We start from the raw sequence: 26,709 nt of genomic DNA, 5'->3' as shown, positions 1-26,709 counted from the left end.
GATAAACCTCGTGAACGTGTGATCTGAGCTAACTTCCTGATACTGGCTGCAGCTTTGCTCAGTATCCAGGGAGTAGCTGAGTGAGCTCAGAAACACAGAGCCCGTGGCTGCTCTGTGGGTCCATGCAGTTGTTAATCTCACGCAGAACCCAGCGGGGAGGTCAGTGTGGATGGTTTTTGTCTTAGATCCAGTGAGACATATAAATGCTGTAAGACTCTGGTTGCACTGTTGAATGTGGATTTTTTTTCTTTGAATATTTTTTTCTTATTTTGATGGAACATTTATTCAAAATGTAGCACCTCCTCTGTCCTTTATGAAGTTATAGTATGGGACAGTTCATTGTGACACACTTTTAAAGCTCTTTACTTTTTTTTTTTTTTTTTTTTTTGGAGATGGAGTCTCGCTCTATTACCCAGGCTGGAGTGCAGTGGTGTGACCTCAGCTCACTGCAATCTCCACCTCCCGGGTTCAAGTGATTCTCCTGCCTCAGCCTCCCGAGTACCTGGGATTACAGGCACCTGCCACCACGCCCGGCTAATTTTTGTTTATTTTAGTAGAAATGGGGTTTCACCGTTTTGGCCAGGCTGGTCTCGAACTCCTGACCTCAGGTGATCCATCTGCCTCGGCCTCCCAAAGTGCTGGGATTACAGGCGTGAGCCACCGCGCCCAGCCTATAGCTCTTTACTTTTTAACATGCCACCATATCTTGTCTGACATGAGATTATTCATTTAGAAACATTTTATTTGGTCTTCCAAATACATTAGAATGTCAGCCACAAAAGATAGCTTGGGGCCTTATAATTGAACCATTTACTTATAAGATTTCAAGTGTCAAGTTGCAATAATTTTCTGCAAAACATAAGTAACTATTTTATGAATATGTATTTGTGATGAATGATTTCCTACACAAATGAAGAATCTATTTTAATAGAAAATGGTAACTGGATATATTACTAGATACAATTTTTTTTATTTCCCTATTTTCAGTTTCAATAGGGAAAATTAAAATTTTCCCTGTTACTTCCTTATTTTATTTCCCTATTTCAATGAATGAAATCATAGGCAACTCTAAGTCTCTTGAGGAAACTTGGGCGTTATACATCTCTCTCTTCTCCCAAACTCAAACTAGCTTAAGCAAAACATGGAATTTGTTGACATGAATAATAGGAAAATCCAATGATGAAGCTGGCTGCAGATGGAACTCAAGAGTTTTTTGGGTATTGGCCTTATTCTCTCTTGGAGTACAGGGGCCTGAGAGGTGGCCCCTGGAAGCTTTTCCAGCTTCAACCCAAAAAGAAAAAAGAGAGACCATCTTTCTTCTAGTGCTACTAAATCAGGTCTTGTGGAAGGAATCTCTTTGGCTGTGGACAGAGGAGTGGGTCTGTGCATGGTCTATTTTTGCAGTGAGGGGTGGGTGGGGTATGGTTATAAGGAGAGAGGAAGAATTTCCAGATGAATAGAGGGGTATAATGCAGGCAAAAGCCATACATGTCCACTGTAACATGCAAATATGATCCATACCTGTGTGCACACTTCAGCCCTGCATCAGCTCAAACACAGGCGGCAGGGCTGGAGCGTGGAGAGGAAGGTGGCCCTACCAGCTGGGTCTACAGCTTGTCTCCTTCCTTCTGAGAACAGTCAGGTGAGCCTTGAAGCGATGGGCTAAGGTGCAGTGCTTCTCAAGCTTGTTTTTGTTAATACTCAAATAACCAAGAGGACTGAAATCGTGATTGCAGGTGGGGGTAGGGGTGCCACAGGTAACTCCTGGCTCACATAAAGAATGGAAATAGTGGCCAGGCGCAGTGACTCACGCCTGTAATCCCAGCACTTTGGGAGGCCGAGGCAGGCGGATCATGAGGTCAGGAGATTGAGACCATCCTGGCTAACACAGTGGTGAAACCCCGTCTCTACTAAAAATACAAAAAACTAGTCGGGTGTGGTGGCGGGCGCCTGTAGTCCCAGCTACTCAGGAGGCTGAGGCAGGAGAATGGTGTGAACCCGGGAGGCGGAGCTTGCAGTGAGCTGAGATCGCACTACTGCACTCCAGGCTGGGCGACAGAGCATATCTCCATCTCCAAAAAAAAAAAAAAAAAAAGGAAATAGTAAGAATTTCTTCTCTGTGTTATAAGCTATGGGAGGGGAGTCACTGAGCAGTGTGCCCAAAATTTTTCCTGTGTGACATTTTCAGGCTGTAGTGGGTGGAAAGATTTTGTAAATGTATCTTCTTGGTGAGAGGGTGTCCTCTGAATCTGCTGGTAGGTTGGAGTGTTTGCAGGGAAATGTTCATCAAAGGGCTTGCTCTGTGAAGAATGTGACTTAGGATGATCTTTATTTTACGTGCATTCCATCATATGTAAACAAAGTTAGGGTCTCAACATTCCCACTAGCACCTTCAGCCAACTCCCAAGCTTCTGTCTCAGCAAAGCGTTTGCTGTAGAAGCCTACACTTTGAACCCATCCTTATTTTAGGTGAAATCATTTATTTCGTCTATGTTTTTACTCTCTAGTGTGTCATATCTTACTTTTTCACTTCTTGAAGAAAAAAACCAATTCTGTCCTGAGTTTGGAAACCTTTCCTTGGTAAGCCAGGGCCCATTTGTGTAGAGTAAGCTTTTCAAATCACTTTACAGTTCCTTCCACATTTGTTGAAAGGGAGAGTTTAGAATACAAATCACTGTTCAGTAGCCAACTGTGTTACCAGCCCATCAATGCCCTGAGGACACTGCATAGCAGACATTCTCCCGCTGGTGCCTTCAGGTGCCCGGAGGCCTGGGCCTGAACTGGCCTTCCACACTCTTGGCTGGAGATGTGGCTCCATCTGGCTTCACCTTCAGTGCCTCCTAACTCGTCAGTAACACTCAGTAAAGAATTGAGCAGAACTTACTGAAAAAGCAAAACGTCTTTGTGAGTTTTTATGGCTTCAGCGTGTCCTGAGCTATCTTTAAAAATAGAGCAACTTGGGCTGGGCATGGCGGCTCACACCTGTAATCCCAGCACTTTTGGAGGCCAAGGAGGGTGGATCATCTGAGGTCAGGAGTTGAAGACCAGCCTGGCCAACATGGCGAAACCCCATCTCTACTAAAAAATACAAAAATTAGCCTGGTGTGGTGGTGCACGCCTGTAATCCCAGCTACTCAGGAGGCTGAGGTGAGAGAATTGCTTGAACCCAGGGAGGCAGAGGTTGCAGTGAGCCAAGATTGCACTGCATTTCAGCCTGGGTGACAGAGCGAGACTCCATCTCAAAAAAACAAAACACAAGCAAACAAAAAGAGGTGGTCATGGTGATGCATGCCAGTAGTTCCAGCTACTTGAGAGGCTGAGGCAAGAGGATTGCTTGAACCCAGGAGTTGGAGGCTTCAGTGAGCTATGATCACACACTGCATTCTAGCCTGGGCAACAGAGCAAGACCCTGTCTCTAAAAAAAATAAAAAATAACATACAGCAACCAAACAGCAGTTCAGTTATTAAAATCTGTTCATGTATTCAGCTATTAGACAAAGACAAGGACCGAGTTAGATCCAGCCTGTGGACCAGTTGTTCCAATTTGTCTCTGAGCACACTGAAATACAGTTTTATAGTGTCATTCGATGAGGGTGCTTTATGCAGCCCGCCGGCTCCTTTTTGCTGGAAACAGGTGTAGTCACAGCCGGAGGGAGATTCACTGCAGAGTCACCAGTTGTGTAGTTTTTCCATTCATCTTGATTCTGAAAAGAGCTTAAAGACAACTTTAAGCAATTGTTACTTTGTTTGTATGCATCTGCTTCCTAAGGTCTATACCTAGCGCCTAGACTTCTTTTTAGATACAAAATGTGTGATTTATTTTCCTTCAAAATTTGCTTCTTTTTTTTTTTTTTCCTGGAGTAATATGACTCATGCAGCAGGGTTTTATTTTATTTTATTTTTATTTTTATTTTTTTTAGATTATAAAAACTTCCTCTTTAATCAAGGCTTTTAACATGAACAGATTTCTTGAATAAAATGGAAAGTTTCCAGTACACTGAAACATAAATCCACAAGTCACCATACATACAACACCCGGCAGGAAAAAACAAAAACAGCAAGTTTACATGATCCCTGTAACAGCCATGGTCTCAAACTCAGATGCTTCCTCCATCTGCCAAGTGTGTTCTGGATACAGAGCACATCGTGGCTTCTGGGGTCACACTCAGCTTAGGCTGTGGGTCCACAGAGCACTCATCTGGCTGGGCTATGGTGGTGGTGGCTCTACTCAAGAAGCAAAGCAGTTACCAGCACATTCAAACAGTGTATTGAACATCTTTTAAATATCAAAGTGAGAAACAAGAAGGCAACATAATAATGTTATCAGAAAGATGTTAGAAAGTAAGGACAGCTGTGTAAAGCTTGAGGCTGAAAAGTAGCTTGCCAGCTTCATTTCTTTGGTTTCTTGGGTAGTGGGCGCCGGAACAGCAAGATGTGAGGTTCTGGTTCATGGATCATATAATGGACCCATCCCTGACTCTGCTGAACGCCAAGATTCCTCCATTCAGATTCAGACATCAGATGGGTTTTAGGGACCAGCTTGGCTATGTCCTTGGGCAGCATGACATGTCGATACTCAAACTCCTTGTCATCGTATTTGTCCGAATAGTAAATTTGTTTGTGCGACATAAATGATTTAACTTTTATTCTGAAAAGCCTCCTGAATATTTATATCCCTAGAACGATACATAAGAATTGATCATCTTTCCTTATGGGAGGACTTTTTTTTGTTGTTGTTGTTGTTTTCTTTTTAATTTTATTTTTTTTTTAATTGATCATTCTTGGGTGTTTCTCACAGAGGGGGATTTGGCAGGGTCATAGGACACTAGTGGAGGGAAGGTCAGCAGACAAACAAGTGAACAAAGGTCTCTGGTTTTCCTAGGCAGAGTGTTTGTGTCCCTGGGTACTTGAGATTAGGGAGTGGTGATGACTCTTAAGGAGCCTGCTGCCTTCAAGCATCTGTTTAACAAAGCACATCTTGCACCGCCCTTAATCCATTTAACCCTGAGTGGACACAGCACATATTTCAGAGAGCACAGGGTTGGGGGTAAGGTCATAGATCAACAAGATCCCAAGGCAGAAGAATTTTTCTTAGTACAGAACAAAATGAAAAGTCTCCCATGTCTACTTCTTTCTACACAGACACGGCAACCATCTGATTTCTCAATCTTTTCCCCACCTTGCCCCCTTTTCTATTCCAGAAAACCGCCATCGTCATCATGGCCCATTCTCAATGAGCTGTTGGGTACACCTCCCAGACGGGGTGGTGGCCGGGCAGAGGGGCTCCTCACTTCCCAGTAGGGGCGGCCGGGCAGAGGCGCCCCTCAGCTCCCGGACCGGGTGGCTGGCCAGGCGGGGCGCTGACCCCCCCATCTCCCTCCCGGACGGGGCGGCTGGCCGGGAGGGGGCGCTGACCCCCCCCACCTCCCTCCCGGACGGAGCGGCTGGCCGGGCAGAGGGGCTCCTCACTTCCCAGTAGGGGTGGCCGGGCAGAGGCGCCCCTCACCTCCCGGACGGGGCGGCTGGCCGGGCGGGGGGCTGAGCCCCCCACCTCCCTCCCGGACGGGGCGGCTGGCTGGGCGAGGGGCTGACCCCCCCACCTCCCTCCCGGACGGGGCGTCTGGCTGGGCAGAGGGGCTCCTGGCTGGGCAGAGGGACTCCTCACTTCCCAGTAGGGGCGGCCGGGCAGAGGCGCCCCTCACCTCCCGGACAGGGCGGTTGGCCGGGCGGGGGGCTGAGCCCCACCTCCCTCCCGGACGGGGTGGCTGCCAGGCGGAGATGCTCCTCACTTCCCAGACGGGGTGGCAGCCAGGCGGAGGGGCTCCTCACTTCTCAGACGGGGCGGTTGCCAGGAGGAGGGTCTCCTCACTTCTCAGACGGGGCGGCCGGGCAGAGACACTCCTCACCTCCCAAACGGGGTCGCGGCCGGGCCGAGGCGCTCCTCACATCCCAGACGGGGCGGCGGGGCAGAGGCGCTCCCCACATCTCAGACGATGGGCTGCCGGGCAGAGATGCTCCTCACTTCCTAGATGGGATGGTGGCCGGGACGAGGCGCTCCTCACTTCCCAGGTGGGATGGCAGCCGGGCAGAGACGCTCCTCACTTTCCAGACTGGGCAGCCAGGCAGAGGGGCTCCTCACATCCCAGACGATGGGCAGCCAGGCAGAGACGCTCCTCACTTCCCAGACGGGGTGGCGGCCGGGCAGGGGCTGCAATCTCCGCACTTTGGGGGGCCAAGGCAGGCGGCTGGGAGGTGGAGGCCATAGCGAGCCGAGATCATGCCACTGCACTCCAGCCTGGGCACCATTGAGCACTAAGTGAATGAGACTCCGTCTGCAATCCTGGCACCTCGGGAGGCCGAGGCTGGCGGAACACTCGCGGCTAGGAGCTGGAGACCAGTCTGGCCAACACAGCGAAACCCCGTCCCCACCAAAAAAACACGAAAACCAGTCAGGCGTGGCGGCGCGCGCCTGCAATCGCAGGCACTCGGCAGGCTGAGGCAGGAGAATCAGGCAGGGAGGCTGCAGAGAGCCGAGATGGCAGCAGTACAGTCCAGCTTTGGCCCGGCATGAGAGGGAAACCGTGGAAAGGAGAGGGAGAGGGAGACGGGAGAGGGAGAGGGAGAGGGAGAGGGAGAGGGAGACGGGAGAGGGAGAGGGAGACGGGAGAGGGAGAGGGAGACGGGAGAGGGAGAGGGAGACGGGAGAGGGAGAGGGAGAGGGAGACGGGAGAGGGAGAGGGAGACGGGAGAGGGAGACGGGAGAGGGAGAGGGAGACGGGAGCTGTTTGTACATCTTATTTTTTATTTTATTTATTTTTTTGAGAGGGAGTCTTGCTCTGTCGCCCAGGCTGGAGTGCAGTGGTGCAATCTCGGTTCATTGCAACCTCTGCCTTCTGGGTTCAAGCAATTCTCCCACCTCAGCATCCTGAGTAGCTGGGATTGCAGGCTCATGCCACCACACCTGGCTAATTTTTGTATTTTAGTAGAGACGGGTTTCACCATGTTGGTCAGGCTGGTCTGAAACTCCTGACCTCAGGTGATCCACCCACCTTGACCTCCCAAAGTGCTGGGATTACAGGCGTGAGCCACCACGCCTGGGCTATTTTTTAAATTTTTTAAAATTTCAACAGCTTTAGGGATACAAATGGTTTTTGGTTACATGGATGAATTGTGTAGTGGTGAAGTCAGGGCACTTAGTGTACCCCTCATTTAGTGTACCTGCCCCCTGAATAGTGTACATTGTACCCAATAAGTACTTTTTCATCCCTCACTCCCACTACCCCTTCTCATAGGAGACGTCAAGGTGAGTCAACCTTCAAAATTACTAATTGGGAATCAATTAGTATTTTAAATAAGCAGCTCGTACATTCCATACTTTCTGGAGTGGCTGCTGCTTCCGGCTGCAGAAGCCCTAGTGTTGGTGGTGCCACATCTTCATTCCTAGTTTGTCTTCATTGCTTTGGGACCCGGAGGTCTCTCTTGACCTCAAGCAGAAATTGTTCTCCAAGGCTCTGGAACCCCAATTCACTAGAATTGCCGAATTTCTGCCCTCAGAAGTACCGTGCATTGTGCGAGGCATGCAGAATGGAGGAGCGCTCAACCCTGCAGAGAGAGATAACTCAGGCCCCTCCCTTCCTCTAGCTGCCTTTCCTTAGGAATTCACAGTTTCCTTATAATTCTGTCCCTCGGGCTGTTTAGGTCCAACGGCTTATAGCGTATGAATCTCTCACCTTGAGCTTTCCTATAAATTCCAAGTTCTTCCTTAGTTTTCCTTTTCCCCTTTGGTTATATTAAGAGAACGTTAAATTGTATTTTGGGGCCAGGCCCAGTGGCTCACGCACTTTGGGAGGCCGAGGTGGAAGGATTACTTGAGGTTAGGAGTTTGGGACCAACCCGGCCAACATAGCAAAACCTTTTCTCTACTGAAAATACAAAAATTAGCTGGATATGATGGCACACACCTGTAATCCCAGCTACTGGGGAGGCTGAGGCAGGAGAATCACTTGAACCCGGGAGGTGGAGGTTGCAGTGAGCCGAGATCATGCCACTGAACTCCAGCCCAGGTGACAGAGTAAAACTCGATCTCAGAAAAAAAAAATTGTATTTTGGGAAATGCTTGTAATGTAACCATGCTCACAATAACTGTATCAATTTATTTTTTTAAGAGACAGGTTGTACTCTGTCATCCAGGTTGGAGTGCAGTGGTGTGATCATAGCTCACTGCAGCCTCCAACTCCTGGGCTCAAGTGATCCTCCTGCTTCAGCTTGGACTATAGGCATGTGCTACCATGCCTGGCTAATTTAAGAAAAGATTTTTTTTTTTTTTTTTTTTGGTAGACACAGTGTCTTGCTCTGTTGCCCAGGCTGCTTCAAACTCCTAACCTCAAGCAATCCTCCGGCCTCGGCTTCCCAAAGCACTACCCTGCCAATATCAATTTTTGTTATTCCTTTCTTTGTTTACATCTTCTGACTTTGTTCGTTCATTACAATTCTGGGTAGGGGGGCTGTCTATGGGATGGGAGAGGACACTGGGCTCCTTAGCCCATCATAGGATCTAGAAGATGGAATTGCAATTTTATCTATGTATCTATCTATGTATCTATGTATGTATGTATGTATGTATATATGTATCTATCTATCTATCTCAATAACTATGTCTTAGGCCAAAACACTCCATTTTTTAGGCTTGCCTCTAAAATGAGGATAATGATCTAATGAAGAAAGAAGATTTGATTAATGTGGGTAAGGAACTTTTATAGGCCAAACACGTATTATTTTTCCACTGTTTTGGTAGTAGCTATTAGTATCCTGGCTTTTCTCACATTTGAGTAAGGCATTCCTATTTAAGAAGGTGCTTTGAAAGACGTTTTTTCGGGAGAAGGAAAGGGCTGGCACTTGCAGGTGTCTTGTGTGTGTGCAGTTGTGATGCACACAGCGGCTTGGCTCTGGAGTGCAGTGAGGTCTGGCGCCCACCTGGCTCTCCAGGGGCAGCTTAGTCCTGCTGGGTGCTCAGGCATCTATTCTCTCCCATTTTTCCAGGCATCTCTAGGAACTTACTGCCCTTTCAACGCAAAGTTTAAATTTTTTATTTGAAGAACCAGCCAATGAGAATGTATTTGGTGATGTCTTCATAGCTGCAACCTTTTCTATGTATGCGTGCCTGTGAAGGGGTAGGAGGGAGAAACCTTCTAGATTGTTTTCTTTTTTCCTTCCTCTTCTCTCCTTGCCTTTGCTCCTCTCCCCCACCCCCCATCCCCAAATAAATACACAAAACAGAGGTCCTATAGTGTCATGCTTGAGAATTATGGATTCGGGCCACCCTGCCTGGTTTGAATCCTGACTTGTCTCTAACACCTGGGCAAGTTGGTTAGCTGTTCTGAGTCTCAGTTTCCTGATCTGTAAAATGAGGATGAAGACAGTTCTTACCTCACAGGATTATGATGAGGGTTAGGTGAGTTAACATATGGAAAACACTCGGAGTGCCTGCCATTAACCCATTTATGCCTGAGGTTGCAGTCTTTTTGTGTGAAAAATCGGACCTTGGCGATGACCTTGAGGGGTGGGATATAAATAACTCCCACAAGCTTAGCGTTCCAATAATGGAACACTAGGCATATATGGTTAAGGACTATGTCAGCGTCAGTGACCATGAGACAAAAACCATATGGGTCATAGCTATTTGGGAGTAGTTGTTAGGAAAAAGAATTTTAGAATGGAGCATTCTGAAATACTAGTGTTTCTATATTTTTACAGTAATAGGAAAAAAGTCCCGCCTGGGCACAGCAGCTCACGCCTGTAATTCCAACACCTTGGGAGGCTGAGGCAGGAGGATTCCTTGAGCCCAGGAGTTTGAAACCAATCTGGGCAACATAGGGAGACCTTGCCCTTATATTAAAAAAATATATTTTTATATATATATCATATATACATATAAATAAGCATTTATATGTATTGTTATATATATATAAGGTTCAGAGAAAGTAGAATGTTATTGTATTCCGTGTGTAGCAGGAAAAATAATCATCACAGATCTCTCCTGAACATTTGGTGTATGCCAAGCACTATAATGAGTGCTTGACACTGATGATCTCATTGCAGGCTCTTATGAGTTTGTTCCTGTGCTTATTTTCCAGAAGAGGAAAGAGGTTTTGAGAGATTAAACTTGCCCAAGTTAGGAAGTGGCTGAATGCAATGGGATTCCTGAGCTCACCTGCTCATACGGGGTGGAATGTTCTGTCTCCATCCTTCTGCTGAGCAGAACCAGGGAGAGTTCATCGGCTTTGTCATGAAAATCACATCGTCTCATATGGTTGTTAGTGAGTCTAGTAATGCATTTCCTTTAAAAGGCAGTTTTCATGTTGACGAACCTCTACTTGCTTCTACTTGTAAGCCAGAATGCCAAAAACAAGAAACCAAGTTCACGATTCTTTGTTTTCTATGATTTGACGAAGGTTTCTGGCATGAGAACCTTCTTTTTGTAGCTGTAAAGCAACTGAGGTTCTTCACTGAGGTTGACAGTGTCTTAGCTGAGTGAGCTGCGGCAGGGATTCCCCTGTTTCCTGTGTTTCCAGTTGCTTATTGGCTGATCCAACTTCCAGATGGGTGCTAATTTCATTCCAGGAAGGGGACCAGAGCTGAGCAGCTCATCTGTTTTCCTTAGCGTGCTGCTCAGTTATTTGAAAGGGTGATTTGAGCTTATTTTTCTTCTTGTTTGTAGACAACAGTGGTGAGATAATTCGAGTGTCTACCTATAACAGAGTGTTACAGGGATTCCGTAATCTTTGCTCTCCAGCATCTGTTGGCCGGGGTAGATGGGGGGTTTGTTGTCCTTGGAAACCTGGAAGGAACTATTAGTCATGTCTTAATCCTGAGCCATAAATTTACACTCATTTGAGAGATAAGCAAATTTGGCAGAAAGACTGAGTCAAAAATCTTTGTCTTGATCTCTGAGACAGGATTAGTGGACAAACTAAATCATAAATTATTTATTATTTTGGTCACAGAAGCTGGAGCGTCGCCAAGAAAAGAATCTTTAAAAATTATTCATTATTGGGGCTGGGCGCGGTGGCTCACGCCTGTAATCCCAGCACTTTGGGAGGCCCAGGTGGGTGGATCACGAGGTCAGGAGATCGAGACCATCCTGCCTAACACGGTGAAACACCGTCTCTACTAAAAATACAAAAAATTAGCCGGGCGTGGTGGTGGGCGCCTGTAGTCCCAGCTACTCGGGAGGCTGAGGCTGGAGAATGGCGTGAACCTGGGAGGTGGAGCTTGCAGTGAGCCGAGATCGCACCACTGCACTCCAGCCTGGGCGACAGAGTGAGACTCCGTCTCAAAAAAAAAAAAAAAAATTATTCATTATCCAACATACTTTACATTGTTCATTATTGGTCATTTAGGCTCCAAATACTGTTACAGATTGAAAAGTAAGAGAAAAAAAAATCTTTCTACTATAGAACATTGCAGTTTTATTTAATGGGAAAAATATTCTTTTAGTCTTTTTACTCTTCCAGAAGAAAATGTTCCACTGAATAATTGATGCTTCTAAAATGAAGCTTTGCGTTTTATGATACTAGAATAGCTTTCATTATCTGAACGAATGAATGTTAGCCCTGAATATTAACTATCTTCATATAAAAAACATTTGAACGTAAGAAAAATCAGCCAACTTGATTGTTCTCAGGTAAAGTTCAGACCATGAATTATACAGAACCCCAGATAATTGCAGATGATGGAACTAATCACAATATGCAAATCAGCAATGATTAACAACCATATGCAGGTGTTCTCATGGGTTGTGTTCGAATGAAATAGGATATTAAAACTGGAAACTTAATTATGTAATTCAGGATGATAAATACATTATTATGCTTTCACCTTTTTTAAAAGAATTGAGACAAATGTAGTCATTTGTGATTTTGTAATCTTTGTTTTTATTTTATATAAATTAAAATATAAAATTCATTATTTTTTATGACAGACAGGTGAAATAAAAACATAGGGCCTTCTAGTATTGCATATTCTGATCTGAAGTTCTGCTTCTGAAATGTATGCTTGGTTCTAAATGATATAAATAGCCTCCATATTACTGACTTATACTTCTAAAACTTCTTTCTGAAGATTCAACAGCAGATCCTTGTTATCCAAGGATAATGAGAACCAGAAAAAAGGCCATTTAAGGTCAATCCACTTAAATGGGGACCAACATTTCATATAATGAAAAAAAGCTTTGGGACTTTATCATGAAAAAAATTAACTGAAAACTATGAAAATAAGTTATTTTAGCATACATTTATCAAAATTTAGGTGATCATTGTGACTATGGCTAGCTCTTAGAATGAGCAGTGTGAAAGTCAAGTGTTGATTATTTTGAAAGGAGTAAATTTTTTGTATAAAATGAGGCGATTCTACATTTTGGTACTTTTTATATCACAATTGACATTTACATCACAGCATAAAGATGACCAGTGTTACAAAGATATTCAAGGTCTTGGTCATTTTCCTCTGGAGCCGTTTAGATTTTTAAATACTAAAATCACTGTAGAAAGTTCTATCTTGTCACCAACGTTAGATTTTTCTCTGAAGTGATTGTTTCCTAATCAAACTGCTCAGCTCCCACTGGCCATTGTTTTACCTGTTATTGGGGAAATTCTCTAATGCCATTTTGATTAGCCTCATGAAATTCTGTATTTGGGGGAAAGTTTTGCAGTGTTGCTCTGCAGTGGACATACATCTGTGGGAGGTACGAGACAGTCACTAACAGAATTAGGGATAGAGGCTGACTTTGAACAATGATGGATTTTTAAGAGGGACTCAAGTCAAAAAAATGGCTATTTGGAAATATTTTAGTATTTTGAAGGTGTGCTTCCCTGAACAAGCCCATCATTTGTAGGGATTTGGGTCATGAATACTCCAATAACAAGGGCTCCCTGACCTGTGTGTATGAATGCATTGCAGTATGCAGTATGAAAAAGAGACTCGGCTGGGCGCGGTGGCTCGCGCCTGTAATCCCAGCACTTTGGGAGGCCGAGATGGGCAGATCACGAGGTCAGGAGTTCGAGACCAGCCTGGCCAATATAGTGAAACCCCATCTCTACTAAAAATACAAAAAGTTAGCCGGATGTGTTGGTGTGTGCCTGTAATCCCCACTACTCGGGAAGCTGAGGCAGGAGAATCACATGAACCCGGGAGGCGGAGGTTGCAGAGAGCTGAGATCGCGCCAGGGCACTCCAGCCTGGGTGATAGTGCGAGACTCTGTCTCAAAAAAAAAAGAAAACAAAGAAAAGAGACTCATGAGTCGGGGAGATACCAGTTCTAGCCTCAGTTCTGCCAGTGGGTAGCTGTATACGCATGGATGAATCACTTCCTTTTGGCATAAATTTACTTATCTGTGAAAAGAAAAAGTTGAGCTAAGGTCCCTTCTACTCATTCTGTGATTCTAAATTGGATATTTTGAGTTGGGGAAGAGCTATATCACTGTTTGCATAATTCCTAGAGCTTAGCAAATATCAACAACTCCTTCTTTTAGTTTATTTGCACTGTATATATATGTGCCTTTTATGATTTCAGTATCTTCATCCATATGTAATTATGCTCTGGGTAAAGTTGTAAACAGCACTTTGGTAAAATTTTAAATTCTGCTCTTTTCACTAGTCTTATCTCATAAATGTTTGCATATATATTGTAAACTTAACATTTTTCTCTGTTTTCACATTTACCTTTCCTAATAGCTGATAGCACATAATAAGTGTATTAAAACATATACTTAAAACATATTTAAATATATTAAAACATACTGATACACATCCTGATCACTGGGCAACTGAGCATCTCCATACTTCAGAGATTTTTTTATGTTTTTTTGGGCCGTGTTACCCTAGACATTTTTGTAGATAGATAATTTTTTAAAAAGAGCTCCTCACACTTGTAGCTCAGTTCTGTGTGCATTTCAGTGCTCAAATGACTTTTGCCACTGCTGTAAACAGGAAGAAACAAACTAAGGCAAAGAGCCCAGCTAAGTGAAACAGAGAGGAACAAAAGAAAATTAGAACTTGGCTTTTGCTGCTGCCAAGCTGGGCAAATAGCGATCCCAGGGAGCCTGGTGTTAAATAACAAAGAAAGCAGGGAACGAGGCAGAAATCCCAGTGGGATCTGAACGGCATCTTCAGATGCTTGGCTGCCCCTGCCACACTCTAGGGAGCATCTGATCACCTGGGAGGTATGGTGACCTTTGGCTTCTGACGTTGCACTGGTCAGACCAACCGTCTCCAGAGAGCTAAGCCATCAATCATCCCCTGAGGGGAGACAGTCAGGCTCACTGCCTCACCGCCTCGAAGCATCCACAAACTGAATTAGCTAATGCTACATTATTAGACATTTCTGCACTTTTCATTTATATTCAGAAGCTTGGAAATTTTCAATGTGTCTTTGGGGGAAAATAGTTTGTTCAACCATTATAATTAGATTTTCTACCCCTTATCTAGATAAATGAAGCGTAATTGACACTTTCCCCTTCTACCGGGGAAAGTGTCATTGCTGCTTCTGCATATGTGTGTGAACTATTTGCAATGCTTGTTTCTCATGGCTTACCCCAGAACTAGGGCGGTTATTGGGCAAGAAAGGGAACTATCCATTGCTGAAACTGGGAGTAACTTGTGATAACCAAATTAGTGACTGAGGCAAAAGTCTCAGTCGATGAGTTTATTAAGCCATCTTAAGGGCATAATCCAGGGGAAAAACAAATGCCATAGACAGACCTGTGGCTGTTATTCCAAAGAAGTTTTCAGGAGGTTTAGTATTTATACCTTTTCTTAAAGGGGGAAGGCATTGTAGAAAAAGGGGCAGGTAGGTGGTAAAGCAAATTTACGGGGTTTTTGTTTGTTTGTTTATTGAGAAAGAGTCTCAACTCTGTCACCCAGGCTGGAGTGCGGTGGCGCGATCTTGGCTAACTGCAACCTCCCTTCCCAGATTGAAGCAATCCTCCTGCCTCAGCACAAGTGTGCACTACCACGGCTGCCTAATTTTTGTATTTTTGGTAGAGACGGGGGTTTTGCCATGTTGGCAAGGCTGGTTTGAAACTGCTGACCTCAGGTGATTCACCTGCCTCAGCCTCCCAAAGTGTTGGGATTACAGGCATGAACCACCTCACCTGGCCAAACTTGACATTTTTGGGAGATTTTATTTAGTGCCCAGTAAATCTACATTTTGCATACGGTAAGGTGAATGTTTGAAGAGAAAAAAGGGAATAAAGGAAGAATCAATTATGCAGAGTTTTTGGGTAGGTGGAGGAATGATTGATCTGGTCTTGTCTTTGTTCTATACCAGGGAAGATAAGCTTGTAATTGACATTATCAGTGCGGAATCGAATAGACTTTAGTTTTAAGAGCTAGACTTAGATTGTAAACATAAAATTACAATTGGCATGTCCTTGTTTATGGGAGGGCAGCAAAAAGTTTACTTACCTATGGAGGCAGTCCTGAGGCCTTCTCCTCTGGATAATGCTAGTAACAGCTCTTCATTTGAAAGAGGGTGTTGCATGACTCAGCCTCCAGGCTTAATCTTTTATTTTGCGTAAGGAGTTTGGGGGTCTTGAGATTTTTTTAAATATTCCCTTGCACGTGGTTGTTTGCAAGAAGTAATGGCAAAGCCTGGTTAAAGTGGATTCAATCAAAACAATTTTAGTCATGATTTAAATTACCAAGTAGGAAAAATCTAGAGGATTCTAGAAATTGTGTGTCAGTTTCAAATCCTACTGTGCTGGTCATATGGAAGTGAGGAATATTGATAAAGTAAGAAGCAGTGCGGTATTTCCAGAGGTTAAATGCAAACCGATTCATTCCATTTCATTTAAGTATATATTTCTAGGCTTTGGAAATTACATCCTATGATTTTTTTAAAACTTTTCTCCCCCAGATTCTGGCTACATTGGAGATTGGTTGCTTTCTAAAACTGAAGGAGAAGCCCATGAAGAGATGGTGGATTCTCACTGAGTTTTGACTAGCGGAAGAAAAGGTAATTATTGATGATTTCGGAATATGTTTGCAGTATCATGTGGAGTTCAGCTGCAGTAGCAGCAAAGACAAAACTGAGAGTTTTAGACATTTTCTGTTATAATAACAACTGGTACCACTCTAATTTCATTGTGTGAGATGGACTTTTTAAAAACAAAACTTAAAATGTTCTTCTTAAATAAGCTTTTCCAGGTAGGTCTACCTGAGGATTAAGGTGTTACCATCAAAGCAGTTGACTCCTTTCCTTAGACCATGTTCCTGGGCCTGATTCCCAGCTTGTTCTGTGTGACAGCCTCACATTTATAGGGATTATGAAAGAATTTCCAAGATAGAGGTTACAGGAAGACCACTAAAGTGTAGGAACTCATTTTAATCACAGGTTCCTTGCTTGTCCATTCTGAAAGTATCAGTTTATTTTTTCTCTCTACTTCAAGTTGCTCTGCCTAATGATTGGATTTATAGTTAAAAATAAACCATATTTAAATTCATATTGATCTACTTTGTTAGGCAAATTGGTCCTAGGGCCAATGGGTGGAAGATATAAAGAAACAGATTTGAATTCAGTATAAGGAGGATTTTTTGAACATCTGACTGACTAATGAATGGGTTGCCTGGCCTGGACGAAGCTCTCCATTGATGGAGATATTTCTATTGTAAACCAAAGATTAAATTCTAAGCCAAGTGACTGAATGGAACATCCTCTCAGCCAAGGGACCCAACAAAACCTGAAAAATTAGTTCAGATCATGATGGAAAGGGAGGGTCAGGCATGCCTCATTACACTCTCCTCCCTTTGGAGTTCAGGCAAACAACTGACCAGCATTAACTTTTCAAAAGAAGACATACACGTGGCCAACAAGCATGTAAAAAAATGCTCAGCATCACTAATCATTAGAGAAATGCAAGTCAAAACCACAGTGAGATACCATTTCACACCAGTCAGAATGGCTACTGTTAAAAAGTCAGAAAATAACAGATGCCGGCGAGGTTGTGGAGAAAAGGAAATGCTTATACATTGTTGGTGAGAGTGTAAATTAGTTCATCGTGGAAAGCAGTGTGACAATTCCTTGAAGAACTTAAAGCAGAATTAACATTTGACCCAGCAATCCCATTACTGGCTATAGACCCAAACGTGTATACATTGTTCTGCCATAAGGGCACATGTACACATATGTTCATCACAACACCATTCTCAATAGCAAGACATGGAATCAACCTAAATGCCCATCAATGGTAGTAGACTAGATAAAGAACATGTGGTGCATATACACTATGGAATACTACACAGACATGAGAAAGAACGAGATCATGTCCTTTGCAGCAACATGGATAGAGCTGGAGGCCATTATCCTTAGCAAACTAATGCAGGAACAGAAAACCAAATACCGTATGTACTCATGCATAAGTGGAAGCTAAACAATGGGAACACCTGGATACTAGGAGGGGAACAACAGATACTGGGGCCTACTTGAGAGTGGAGGCTTGGGGGAGAGAAAAGATCAGAAAAAATACTCATTGGGTACTACGCTTCCTACCTGGGTGATGATCTGTACACCAAACCCCTGTGACACACAGTTTTACCTACGTAATAAACCTGCACGTGTAATACCCCTGAACCTAAAATAAAAGTTAAAAAAAAATAAAGGTCCTAAGACTGACAGAACAGTAAGATACCAAATTCCAACCTGACTCTACTGTAGCATCATATGGTCCATAGCAGGCACTGAAAACAAATCACAGTATTTTATCCCTTTGACATATTTTGAAATAGCTTTGTAAAGCTGTTTCTTTTGGGAGAAATTTACATTCCATAGAGAATCCTTTCCCTTTCCAGGTCTTTTCCTAATACTGAAGAGATTGGCTGAGAGTCTAGCACCTTTTAACGGTCTGCATAGGAAGCATTGACCATCTATTGCGTTTGGGGGCAGCCACCTATGAGACTATGAGACTTCATCTACATAAGAACTTTTGCCTCCACAACCCCCATATTAACCCAAACACTCCTCTCCTTTCTGTTTATTCCAGGTCTTTAGACAATAACTTAACTCTTTCAACCAATTTCCAGACAGAAAATCTTTGACTCCACCTATGACCTGTAAGCCCCCACCCCCCAAGTTGTCCCGCCTTTCTGGATCGAACCAGTGTATACCTTCCATGTATTGATTAATGTCTTCTGTCTCTGTAAAGCACATAAAACCAAGCTGTAACCCAACCGCCTTGGGTACATGTTCTCAGGAGCTCTTGAGTCTGTGTCACAGGTCATGATCCATAACCTTGGCAAAATAAACTTCTAAATTGACTGAGACCTGTCTCAGATACTTTTTGGTTCACACTATAGAAACTCTGTGTTTGTCTGACAAGGATGTTGCTGCAGAAGAGCCTCCCTGAACTGGAGTTGGTCAAACTGAATCTTCCTAGGTCTATTTTAACCAAAAGGAATTCTACAGTTTCTCTATTGATGGCCCAAAGGAAGCAGAGTTTTTTGGAGTTTTTTTCGGTGGGGGTGGTTGGCTTTTTGTTTTCACACATTAAAAAAATTACGCAAAGATGTTCAACTCAATTATGGCACTTGTAATTTCTGGTGCTTCTGTCATGATTTGGGGTGACTTTCATGAAATGCTTATTCTCAAGCATATTTCCTGACCAGTGTGCCATGAGGTTAGAGAGGCTATTCAGAGTGAGGATGATTTTGTGCTTCCATGGTGAAGTGCAGCACAGAGGGGTTCTCTGGGGCAAGTTGGGGGAGCCCAGAGTGCATGGAGAGTGAGGGCCTGGCACAGGCTGTGTTTGGATCCTAAGGAACCTCTTAGTGCAGGTGAATCAGGGTAAATGACAATGAAAATCTGCCCGAGGGAGAAGATGTGATCAAAGTATGTGCAAAGCAAGTGTGTGTGTTTTGCTAGGTTGGGAGGGAGAAGATTGCTGTAAGTTGATTATAATAAGCCTGTGTAAACCAAAAATAAAATTCTAAGCCCCTCAGCCATCTGAATGAACCCCTCCTCTTGGCCAAGGCCATTCCAAAATTAACCTGAATAACTAGTTCAGGCCCTGATGGGAAGGGCGAATCAGACATGCCTCATGATACCCTCCTCCCTTTTGGAATTCAGACCCAGCTGACCAGCATTAAGATGAACACAGACCTTAAGACTGATAGAACAGACTCTTTAAGTCTAATAAGAAACCTTTACAATCAGTTTTCTGAAGCCTGAAGCCTGCTACCTGGAGGCTTCATTTGCATACTAACACCCTGGTCTCCACAATCCCTTATCTTAACCAGACATCCCTTCTTATTGATTCTAAGTCTTCAGACAGTAATTTAACTCTTTCAGCCAATTTCCAATAAGAAAATCTTTGACTCCATCTATGACCTGGAAGCCCTCACCCCCACTCCCAGCTTCCAGTTGTCCCACTTTTCTGGACCAAACCATTGTACATCTTACAAGTACTGATTGAAGTCTTATGTCTTTCTCAAATCTATAAAGCCAAGTTGTAGCCCAGTCACCTTAAGCACATGTTCTCAGGATCCCCTGAGCCTTTGTCATGGGCCCTTGGCCACTCATATTTGGCTCAGAATAAATCTCTTCAAATGTTACAGAGTCTGACTCTTTTTATCAACACCTGACTTAGAATCTCAGCACCATCTTTGGACCCACCTGCTCTGCTACCTTTGAGCCCTTAGTTTCTGCCTCCCTTGGCCAACTCTCCCCATTAACCATTCTATGAGGACAGGTGAATAGTCATTAAACATGAGGTGAAGCACAGTGTTTTTTGAGAACATCTGAATGTCCTGTGACCATTCCTGTAGCTAACATACACTTGAACCTAGAAAAGCATATCTGAATTGTAACAGAATTTGTATACTCCTCTTTCTTCACCAAGCCTGTCTAATTCCAGGCAGAAATGTTTCTCCTTCTTCCTTCTAAATGCAACATCATTTTGTCCTTTGCATGTTTCATTGGTTTGGTTCCTTTTATTAATTATGTAATAATTATGGTTTGGTTCCTTTTATTAATTGTGTGTAAAGGGTATCTCCTCACTGATCACTAGACGATAAGCTCCAGGAGGAAAAGGATTTCTTTCTGTTTTGGTTGCTACTTTATGCCAGGAACCTAGAGCAGTGTCTGGAACTTAGTAGGTGCTTCATAAACATTTACTTAATGAGATAACAAATGTGTCTCTCTGGCTAAACTGAAAGCTTCTTGGGGACAAGAAGAGTCTCTTCGTCTGTGACTTCATCATTGGGCTGACGCAGCAGCTGCCTTCTCCTCTGGCTATGGGACTGTGGGCTGAGATACCTACACGTGGGCTACTCTCTCAAAAGGGCTGAGGAGGGGGCGTGGTATTGGAGCTGTGTTGGTGACTAGAGGTTAAGATCTGCCAACCTGCTGCTTAAGGCGTAGAAGATTCTTTCCAAGATGCATACAAATGAGATTTGGAAGAGATGCAAAGCCCAGAGCCAGCATGGGTGTCCATGCTAGGACCTTTTACTAGCTAGGATCACCAGCCCCTCCCAGGAAACTCTCTGATGGGCTGAGGGAGTGGGGACAGGAAGGGCGTGTGCTGGGTGTCACAACAGAGCCTTCCCTTCAAGACAGGTCTGAGCGGAAGTGTGTGGTAAGTCACATGGAGGCAGAAGGTCTGTTCCTGATCAGGGTTAAGGTGCCCCTTTGGTCTCCCTTCCTAGCCTGTGTAAGAAGCCCTGCATCTGTTGAAATAAACAAATGCGACAAGGAAGCGCAGAAGCAGCAAGCCTTATTGCAATGTGCCTAGTGTGGTTTGTAGCAAGGAGGAAGTCCTGCTGGTGGGAGCATCCAGCCCAGCTCTGATGATCTGAAACCATCTTTGAGTAACTGGTGCCCAGAGGGAATGTTTTACTTTTTGGCTGCTTTTCTGACGTGATCATTAGGAAAGAGATAGGCACACTTTTGCACAACTTCTATGCTAAGCTTCTTTGTCTGGAAAGGAAATTTTAGTTGCAAGGACTTAAAATTTCCTTCTTGTGAGCTGATACTTTTGAGACAGTCAAGAGGATGTTAATTTAATGAAATCATGAACTTATGCTTCTTATCTCCTCCTCCTCCTCCTCATTCTTCTCTCTCTCTCAACACACGTACACACACACACACACACACACACACACACACACACCATTCCATCTTTAGAGGTCATCATGCCTTTGCATGTCATGCTTTGTGCTGTGGTGGCTGGAGACTCTCTTTCCATCACCAGCTATTCCCTGGGCTGTCATTCTGTGTAAAATCCTTTCTGCTGACTTCTCATCCTTCCTTGCCTGCACGTGCCCTAAATCTCACTTTTCTGCCCATCCTCTTTGGCTCATCCTCTTCTCTTCCCACACAATTCCCTTCTCCCAGTGCCATCCTCCTTCCCAGTTGTACCAGTCACAGCCCCATTCCCTACCATGCCAATTACAAATGCAACCCCTTTATGACAGCTTCCTGCCCCACCTCCACAGGGAACTCACCTCTCTTCCGCCCTGCAGTGCTCTGAGCTTCTCCCATGGACTTTCCGTCTCCTGCCCCTGAGCCAGTTGTTTGTGAGGCAAGCCCAGCAGGTAGTGTCCATGCCTGCTGGTTGCCTTCTCCTTCCCTCCCACTTTCTTTGCTATTTTTTTTTTTGAGATGGAGTCTCACTCTGTCGCCCAGGCTGGAGTGCAGTGGTATGATCTCAGCTCACTGCAGTCTCTGCTTCCTGGGTTCAAGATATTCTCCTGCCTCAGCCTCCTGAGTAGCTGGGATTATAGGCACACACCACTACGCCCAGCTAATTTTTGTATTTTTAGTAGAGACAGGGTTTTACTATGTTGGCCAGGCTGATCTTGAACTCCTGACCTCAAGTGATCCACCCGCCTCGGCCTCCCAAAGTGCTGGGATTACAGGCGTGAGCCACTGTGCCCAGCCTCTCTTGCTATTTTTGATTTGCCCTAAACTCCATCACCCTTCTTAAATGCATGGTACACTTTTTACAGCATAAATATTTGGTGATAGCCCTGAGGCTAAAGTGCAAGATCACAGCACGCATCGGGGCCCATTTGGTGCAGGCTCCCATCCCACGGCCCCCTGCCCATGCGCCATGCTGTAGCATGTGTAATTCCTATCAACTTTCTGAAAATAGCAGGCTCCAGGCCTCGTGTTGCATACTACCTGGAACACCTTCCCTCTTCCTTCTCAACTGGCTGCATCTGACTGATCACTAAAGATGCCATTCAGGTGCCTCCTCCAAGAAGCTAGCTGGGTCATATGCACCTCCACTGGTGGGACGGGGAGAGTGGACAGAACGCCTATGAGAACATGTGCCAGTCTGTATGTTTCTGGTGCTGATCTCCTTGACTAAACAGACTTTTATTATTACTGAGATAGGATCTTATTCTGTCACCCAGGCTGGAATGCAGTAGCACAGTCACGGCTCACTGCAGCCTCAACCCCTTGGACTTAAGAGATCCTCCCACCTAAGCCCCCCAAGTGGCTGGGATGACAGGCACATGCAACTATGCCGGGTAATTTTTAATTTTTTATTTTTAGGAGAGATAGGATCTCGCTATATTGCCGAGGGTCTCGAACTCCTGGGCTCAAGCAATCCTCCTGCCTCAGCCTCCCAAAGTGCTGGGATTACAGGTGTGAGCCACTGAGCCTGACCTGGACTTTTTTTTTTTTCTAATTTTAGATTCAGGGGGTACATGTACAGGTTTGTGACATGGATATTCTGTGCAATGGTGTAGCTCGGGCTTCTGTAAACGAACTTCTGTAAAGGTGGAACTGGATCCCTGACCTCTAGCAGTGCCACCCAACAGAAAGGTATTTAGAAAGTGGCTGGCTTGGCGGGGCATGGTGGTGTGTGCCTGCGGTCCCAGCTGCTCAGGAGGCTGAGGTAGGAGAATCTCTAGAGCTTGGGCAGACGAGGCTGCAGTGAGCCGTGATCAGCGCCACTGCACTCCAGCCAGGGCAACAGAGTGGGACCCCCATCTCAAAAAAAAAAAAGGAAAAGAAAAAAGAAAAAAAAGTGGCTGGCTTTCTAATCATTCATCTTCAGACTTTCCAATCTGTACTCAATGCTTTTGGTTTTAGGTTTTTGTTTTTCTAATAACATATTTGATGAAGAAGTCCCATCTGATGCAGAGGAGACTTGCATGTGGAAAGGAGTTGTCACTATTTCTTAAATTGTGGCTTCACTGGCTTCATTACCTGCACCTTCTCTTCTCACAAATATATGTCATTTTTATTTACCATGACATTTGAGAATTTAGTAAAAGTTAGTGGAGCAAGTTAGTCCCCTTAGTTGCCTACAAGCAGCTCTAAACCCAGGTGTTTTTTTGTTTTGTTTGTTTGTTTGTTTGTGACGGAGTCTCTCTCTGTTGCCCAGGCTGGATTGCAGTGGCACAATCTCTGCTCACTGCAGCCTCTGCCTTTCAGGTTCAAGTGATTCTCCTGCCTCAGCCACCCAAGTAGCTGGGATTACAGGCGTGCGCCACCATGCCAGGCTAATTTTGCATTTTTAGTAGAGATGGGGTTTCACCATATTGGCCAGGCTGGTCTCGAACTCCTGACCTCTGTTGATCCACCTACCTCAGCTTCCCAAAGTACTGGGATTACAGGCATGAGCCACTGTGCCTGGCCACCCAGGTGTTTTTAATTTTATACACAGGCTGCTACAAGCAAACCAATGCTGGGAGATGGTCATGCAGCTCAGGTCAACTCAGGGTACCCTCAACCTAAAATGTGAGAGGAGAGCTGCAGAAGCAATGGACGAGAAGGGAGCAGGGGTTTTAATATCCCCCACACATCTTCCAGCTTCTACTCTGCTCACTAATTTCATTTTGGACAAAAGCTTGTTGATTCTTCTTACTCAGGCTAGTTACCTGCATTATACTGAACAGAATTCCTCCAGGGAACAGCCTCTTGGCTAAATCAACATACACCTGCCATTCACAGATGCAGGGTTTCTAGCAAGATTCTAGAGCAGGGTCCCCAACCCCTGGGCCATGGATCAGTACTGGTTTGTGGCCTGTTTGGAACCTGCACAGCAGGAGGTGAGCGGCAGGTGAACGAGTGAAACTTCATCTGTATTTGCAGTTGCTCCCCATTGCTTGCATTTCCCCCTGAGTTCCGCCTCCTGTCGGATCAGCAGTAGCATTAGATTCCATAGGAGCATGAACCCTATTGTGAACTGCGCATTTGAGGGAGCTAGGTTGCATGCTCCTTATGAGAATCTAATGCCTGATGATCTGTCACTATCTCTCATCACCCTTAGATGGGACTATCTAGTTGCAGGAAAACAAGCTCAGGGCTTCCACTGATTCTACATTATGGTGAGTTGTATAATTATTTCTTATATATTACAATGTAATAATAATAAATTGCACAATAAATGTAATGCACTTGAATCATCCTGAAACCATCCCCCTCAACCCCTGGTTCATGGAAAAATTGTCTTCCACAAAACTGGTCCCCAGTGCCAAAAAGGCTGGGGATTGCTGTTCTAGAGCCTTTGTCTTTCAGATAAGGTAGACCCTGGCTTCACTTCTAAAAGGAAGATAAATGACTTTCTAGTGATATTTGCCCATTTTAGACAAATGTTTCTGCACCTTAGACTGAGGGCAGGTAGGCAGGATCATTGCTGGGGTGGCTTCCTGCTTGAACATTGTAGTTTCTTTGAGTTGAAGGTAGAACATTAAGATGTGATCACTGAAGGAGGAGCATCAAGCACAAATGAGCTCCTGATGTAGTTTACACAGCACTTGGGTGGAAAGGGCCATCCCTTTCCCTCTTTCCTTATGGAATTGGGAATCCGACAGTAAGTGGCCAATGAAAATGTATCCTCGCTGGTCACAGTGGCTCGTGCCTGTAATCCTAGCACTTTGGGAGGCTGAGGATGGAGGATCGCTTGAACCCAGGGGTTGAGAGAAGCCTAGGCAATATAGTGAGACCTGTTTCTATAAAAAAATAAAAATTAGCTGAGCATAGTGCTGCACAGCTATAGTCCCAGCTACTTAGGAGGCTGAGGCAGGAGGATTACGTGGGCTCCATTGCATGGAGTCCAGGAGTTTGAAGCTGCAGAGAGCTATGATTGTGCCACTGCACTCCAGCCTGGGCAAGAGTGAGACCCTGTCATTCTGACCCAGGTGTTATTCCGAGCAGCACTGACAGCATTCAGGGCTAGGTCATGCTTGGTTCTCTTGGCAGAATTTTTTCTTTGGTTTGGGGATATCGCCTGTACATGACAAGACAAAGGGGCAGGAGGAATGGAAGCCTTCCAGCATCGTTCACATTGCATGCTTGGAAACACTACTTGGGGGTGGAAAGTGAATGCATCTTTGTGGCATCTGAGTTCCCAGCAAAGGGTGTCTGCTGAGCTGAAGGCAAAAAGGGAAGGGGGAGAATTTTATAGAATAGGACATCTGGGGCACTCACATGGAGGGAGATTTAATACTATTTAGTCCCTGGCATTATTTCTCTTTCCTTAAGTTTACACTTTTTAAATTTGAAATTGAGAAATGATCACATTTAAATAGCAATGATTAAACATGTAGTTGATCCAGTTACTTTGTCATCCTTTATTTAGAAATGTCCGTAAGTAAGTGATCTCTAGTCTAGGAGGCAGATGGGTTCTGATGACCTGGGAAGAACTCTGTTGTTACCAAGGCTAAATCTCCACAGGTGTTTCCAAGACCCAAGGGTCACAGCTGTGTGCCAGTAGGAAAAGAGGGGTGGAAAATCGACTCCAAACGGCCAAATGGGCGTTACATCCTAGGCAAATGCCAACCTAAATGTAGCCCTTTGTGTGGTCAAGGCTGTTGTCAAAAGCAGAAAAAGCTAGCTCTAATTTCTCCAAACCAATGTCCAGCTCAGTGTTCCAACTGCCAGCTGCTCCGGCCCCTTAAGGTGATAACTCAGGGCCCAGAGTGACCTCTCTTGCTCCATTGGAGCCAGCCAAACCCTTGTGGATTTTTTTGTACTTACCTTTGACAAGAGGAAATCTCTGCAAACCTCTGTGTGCAGTTCCAGAAACATGTTTTACTTTATCATCATGCTCAAAGACTGCTTTGTAAGCTCTCTGCATTGGGGGTAAGCTGGTTAGCATTTACCTAGTATTTGTGTTTATTAAGTTAGTCTTTGCTCTCAAAGAGTTTATATTGTGCGTGTGCGCACACACACACACACACTCTTTTTTTTCCACTTAAAAACAGAAGAATGAATGAGTGTGTATGTGTTTAGGTGACACTGAGAGGTAATGTTACCAAAACACCAGTGGTTCGGTCTTGATCCTGCTGCTGTTCACCACACAGAAAGCCAATCACTGAGATAATCAGTACTGCCAGGGAAGAAGGCTTTATTCAGGTGCTGCAGGTGAGGAGATGGGAGATCAGTCTCAAATCCATCTCTCTGACTGACTAAAATTAGGGGTTTATATAGCAGGGAAGAAATGTAACCATGCATGGGAAACAGGAATTAGAGAGAGGTAAGGATGAGGAATTGGTCAACAGGAAGCAGGGGGTCAGTAGTTATCATGATGGGTGAGGGGTCTGGTGTTTTATTGCCCAGATGCAGTAATCTGGTAAGTTTCAGCTCTGTGATACTATCTCAGAGGACTGATGGTTGGTTTCCTGAGAAAGGAGCTCAGATAAGACAAATGTAACTTTCTTATGTTTCAAGACTGGGAAGGGTCAATTTCTATGTTTATTCAAA

General features: G+C 44.5%; 1 protein-coding gene and 1 pseudogene across 3 annotated transcripts in view, besides 1 other annotated feature; one reads left to right on the top strand and one right to left on the bottom strand.

The window, feature by feature from the left end:
• The window catches only part of SVIL (supervillin), a 279,599-nt gene that overhangs the window by 34,373 nt on the left and 218,517 nt on the right, over window positions 1-26,709 (top strand). For all 3 annotated transcript variants that reach the window (NM_001323599.2, NM_001323600.1, NM_003174.3), the window contains exon 2: window positions 15,913-16,011. The gene's annotated coding sequence lies outside the window, so the exon portion shown is untranslated. The remainder of the gene's footprint in view (window positions 1-15,912; window positions 16,012-26,709) is intronic.
• CKS1BP2 (CDC28 protein kinase regulatory subunit 1B pseudogene 2) lies at window positions 3,918-4,629 on the bottom strand (annotated as a pseudogene).
• Window positions 13,786-14,404: an enhancer, noted in NCBI's record as "OCT4-NANOG hESC enhancer chr10:29977089-29977707 (GRCh37/hg19 assembly coordinates)". NCBI's record gives its function as "activates a minimal SCP1, AML or CMV promoter by ChIP-STARR-seq in naive H9 embryonic stem cells {active_cell/tissue: H9 hESC(naive)}" and the evidence as "EXISTENCE:reporter gene assay evidence [ECO:0000049][PMID:30033119]".

This window comes from Homo sapiens, chromosome 10 (assembly GCF_000001405.40).
Source record: "Homo sapiens chromosome 10, GRCh38.p14 Primary Assembly".
In the NCBI taxonomy this organism is placed as follows: Eukaryota; Metazoa; Chordata; class Mammalia; order Primates; family Hominidae; genus Homo; species Homo sapiens.
This window is presented reverse-complemented; position numbering and strand designations above follow the sequence as displayed.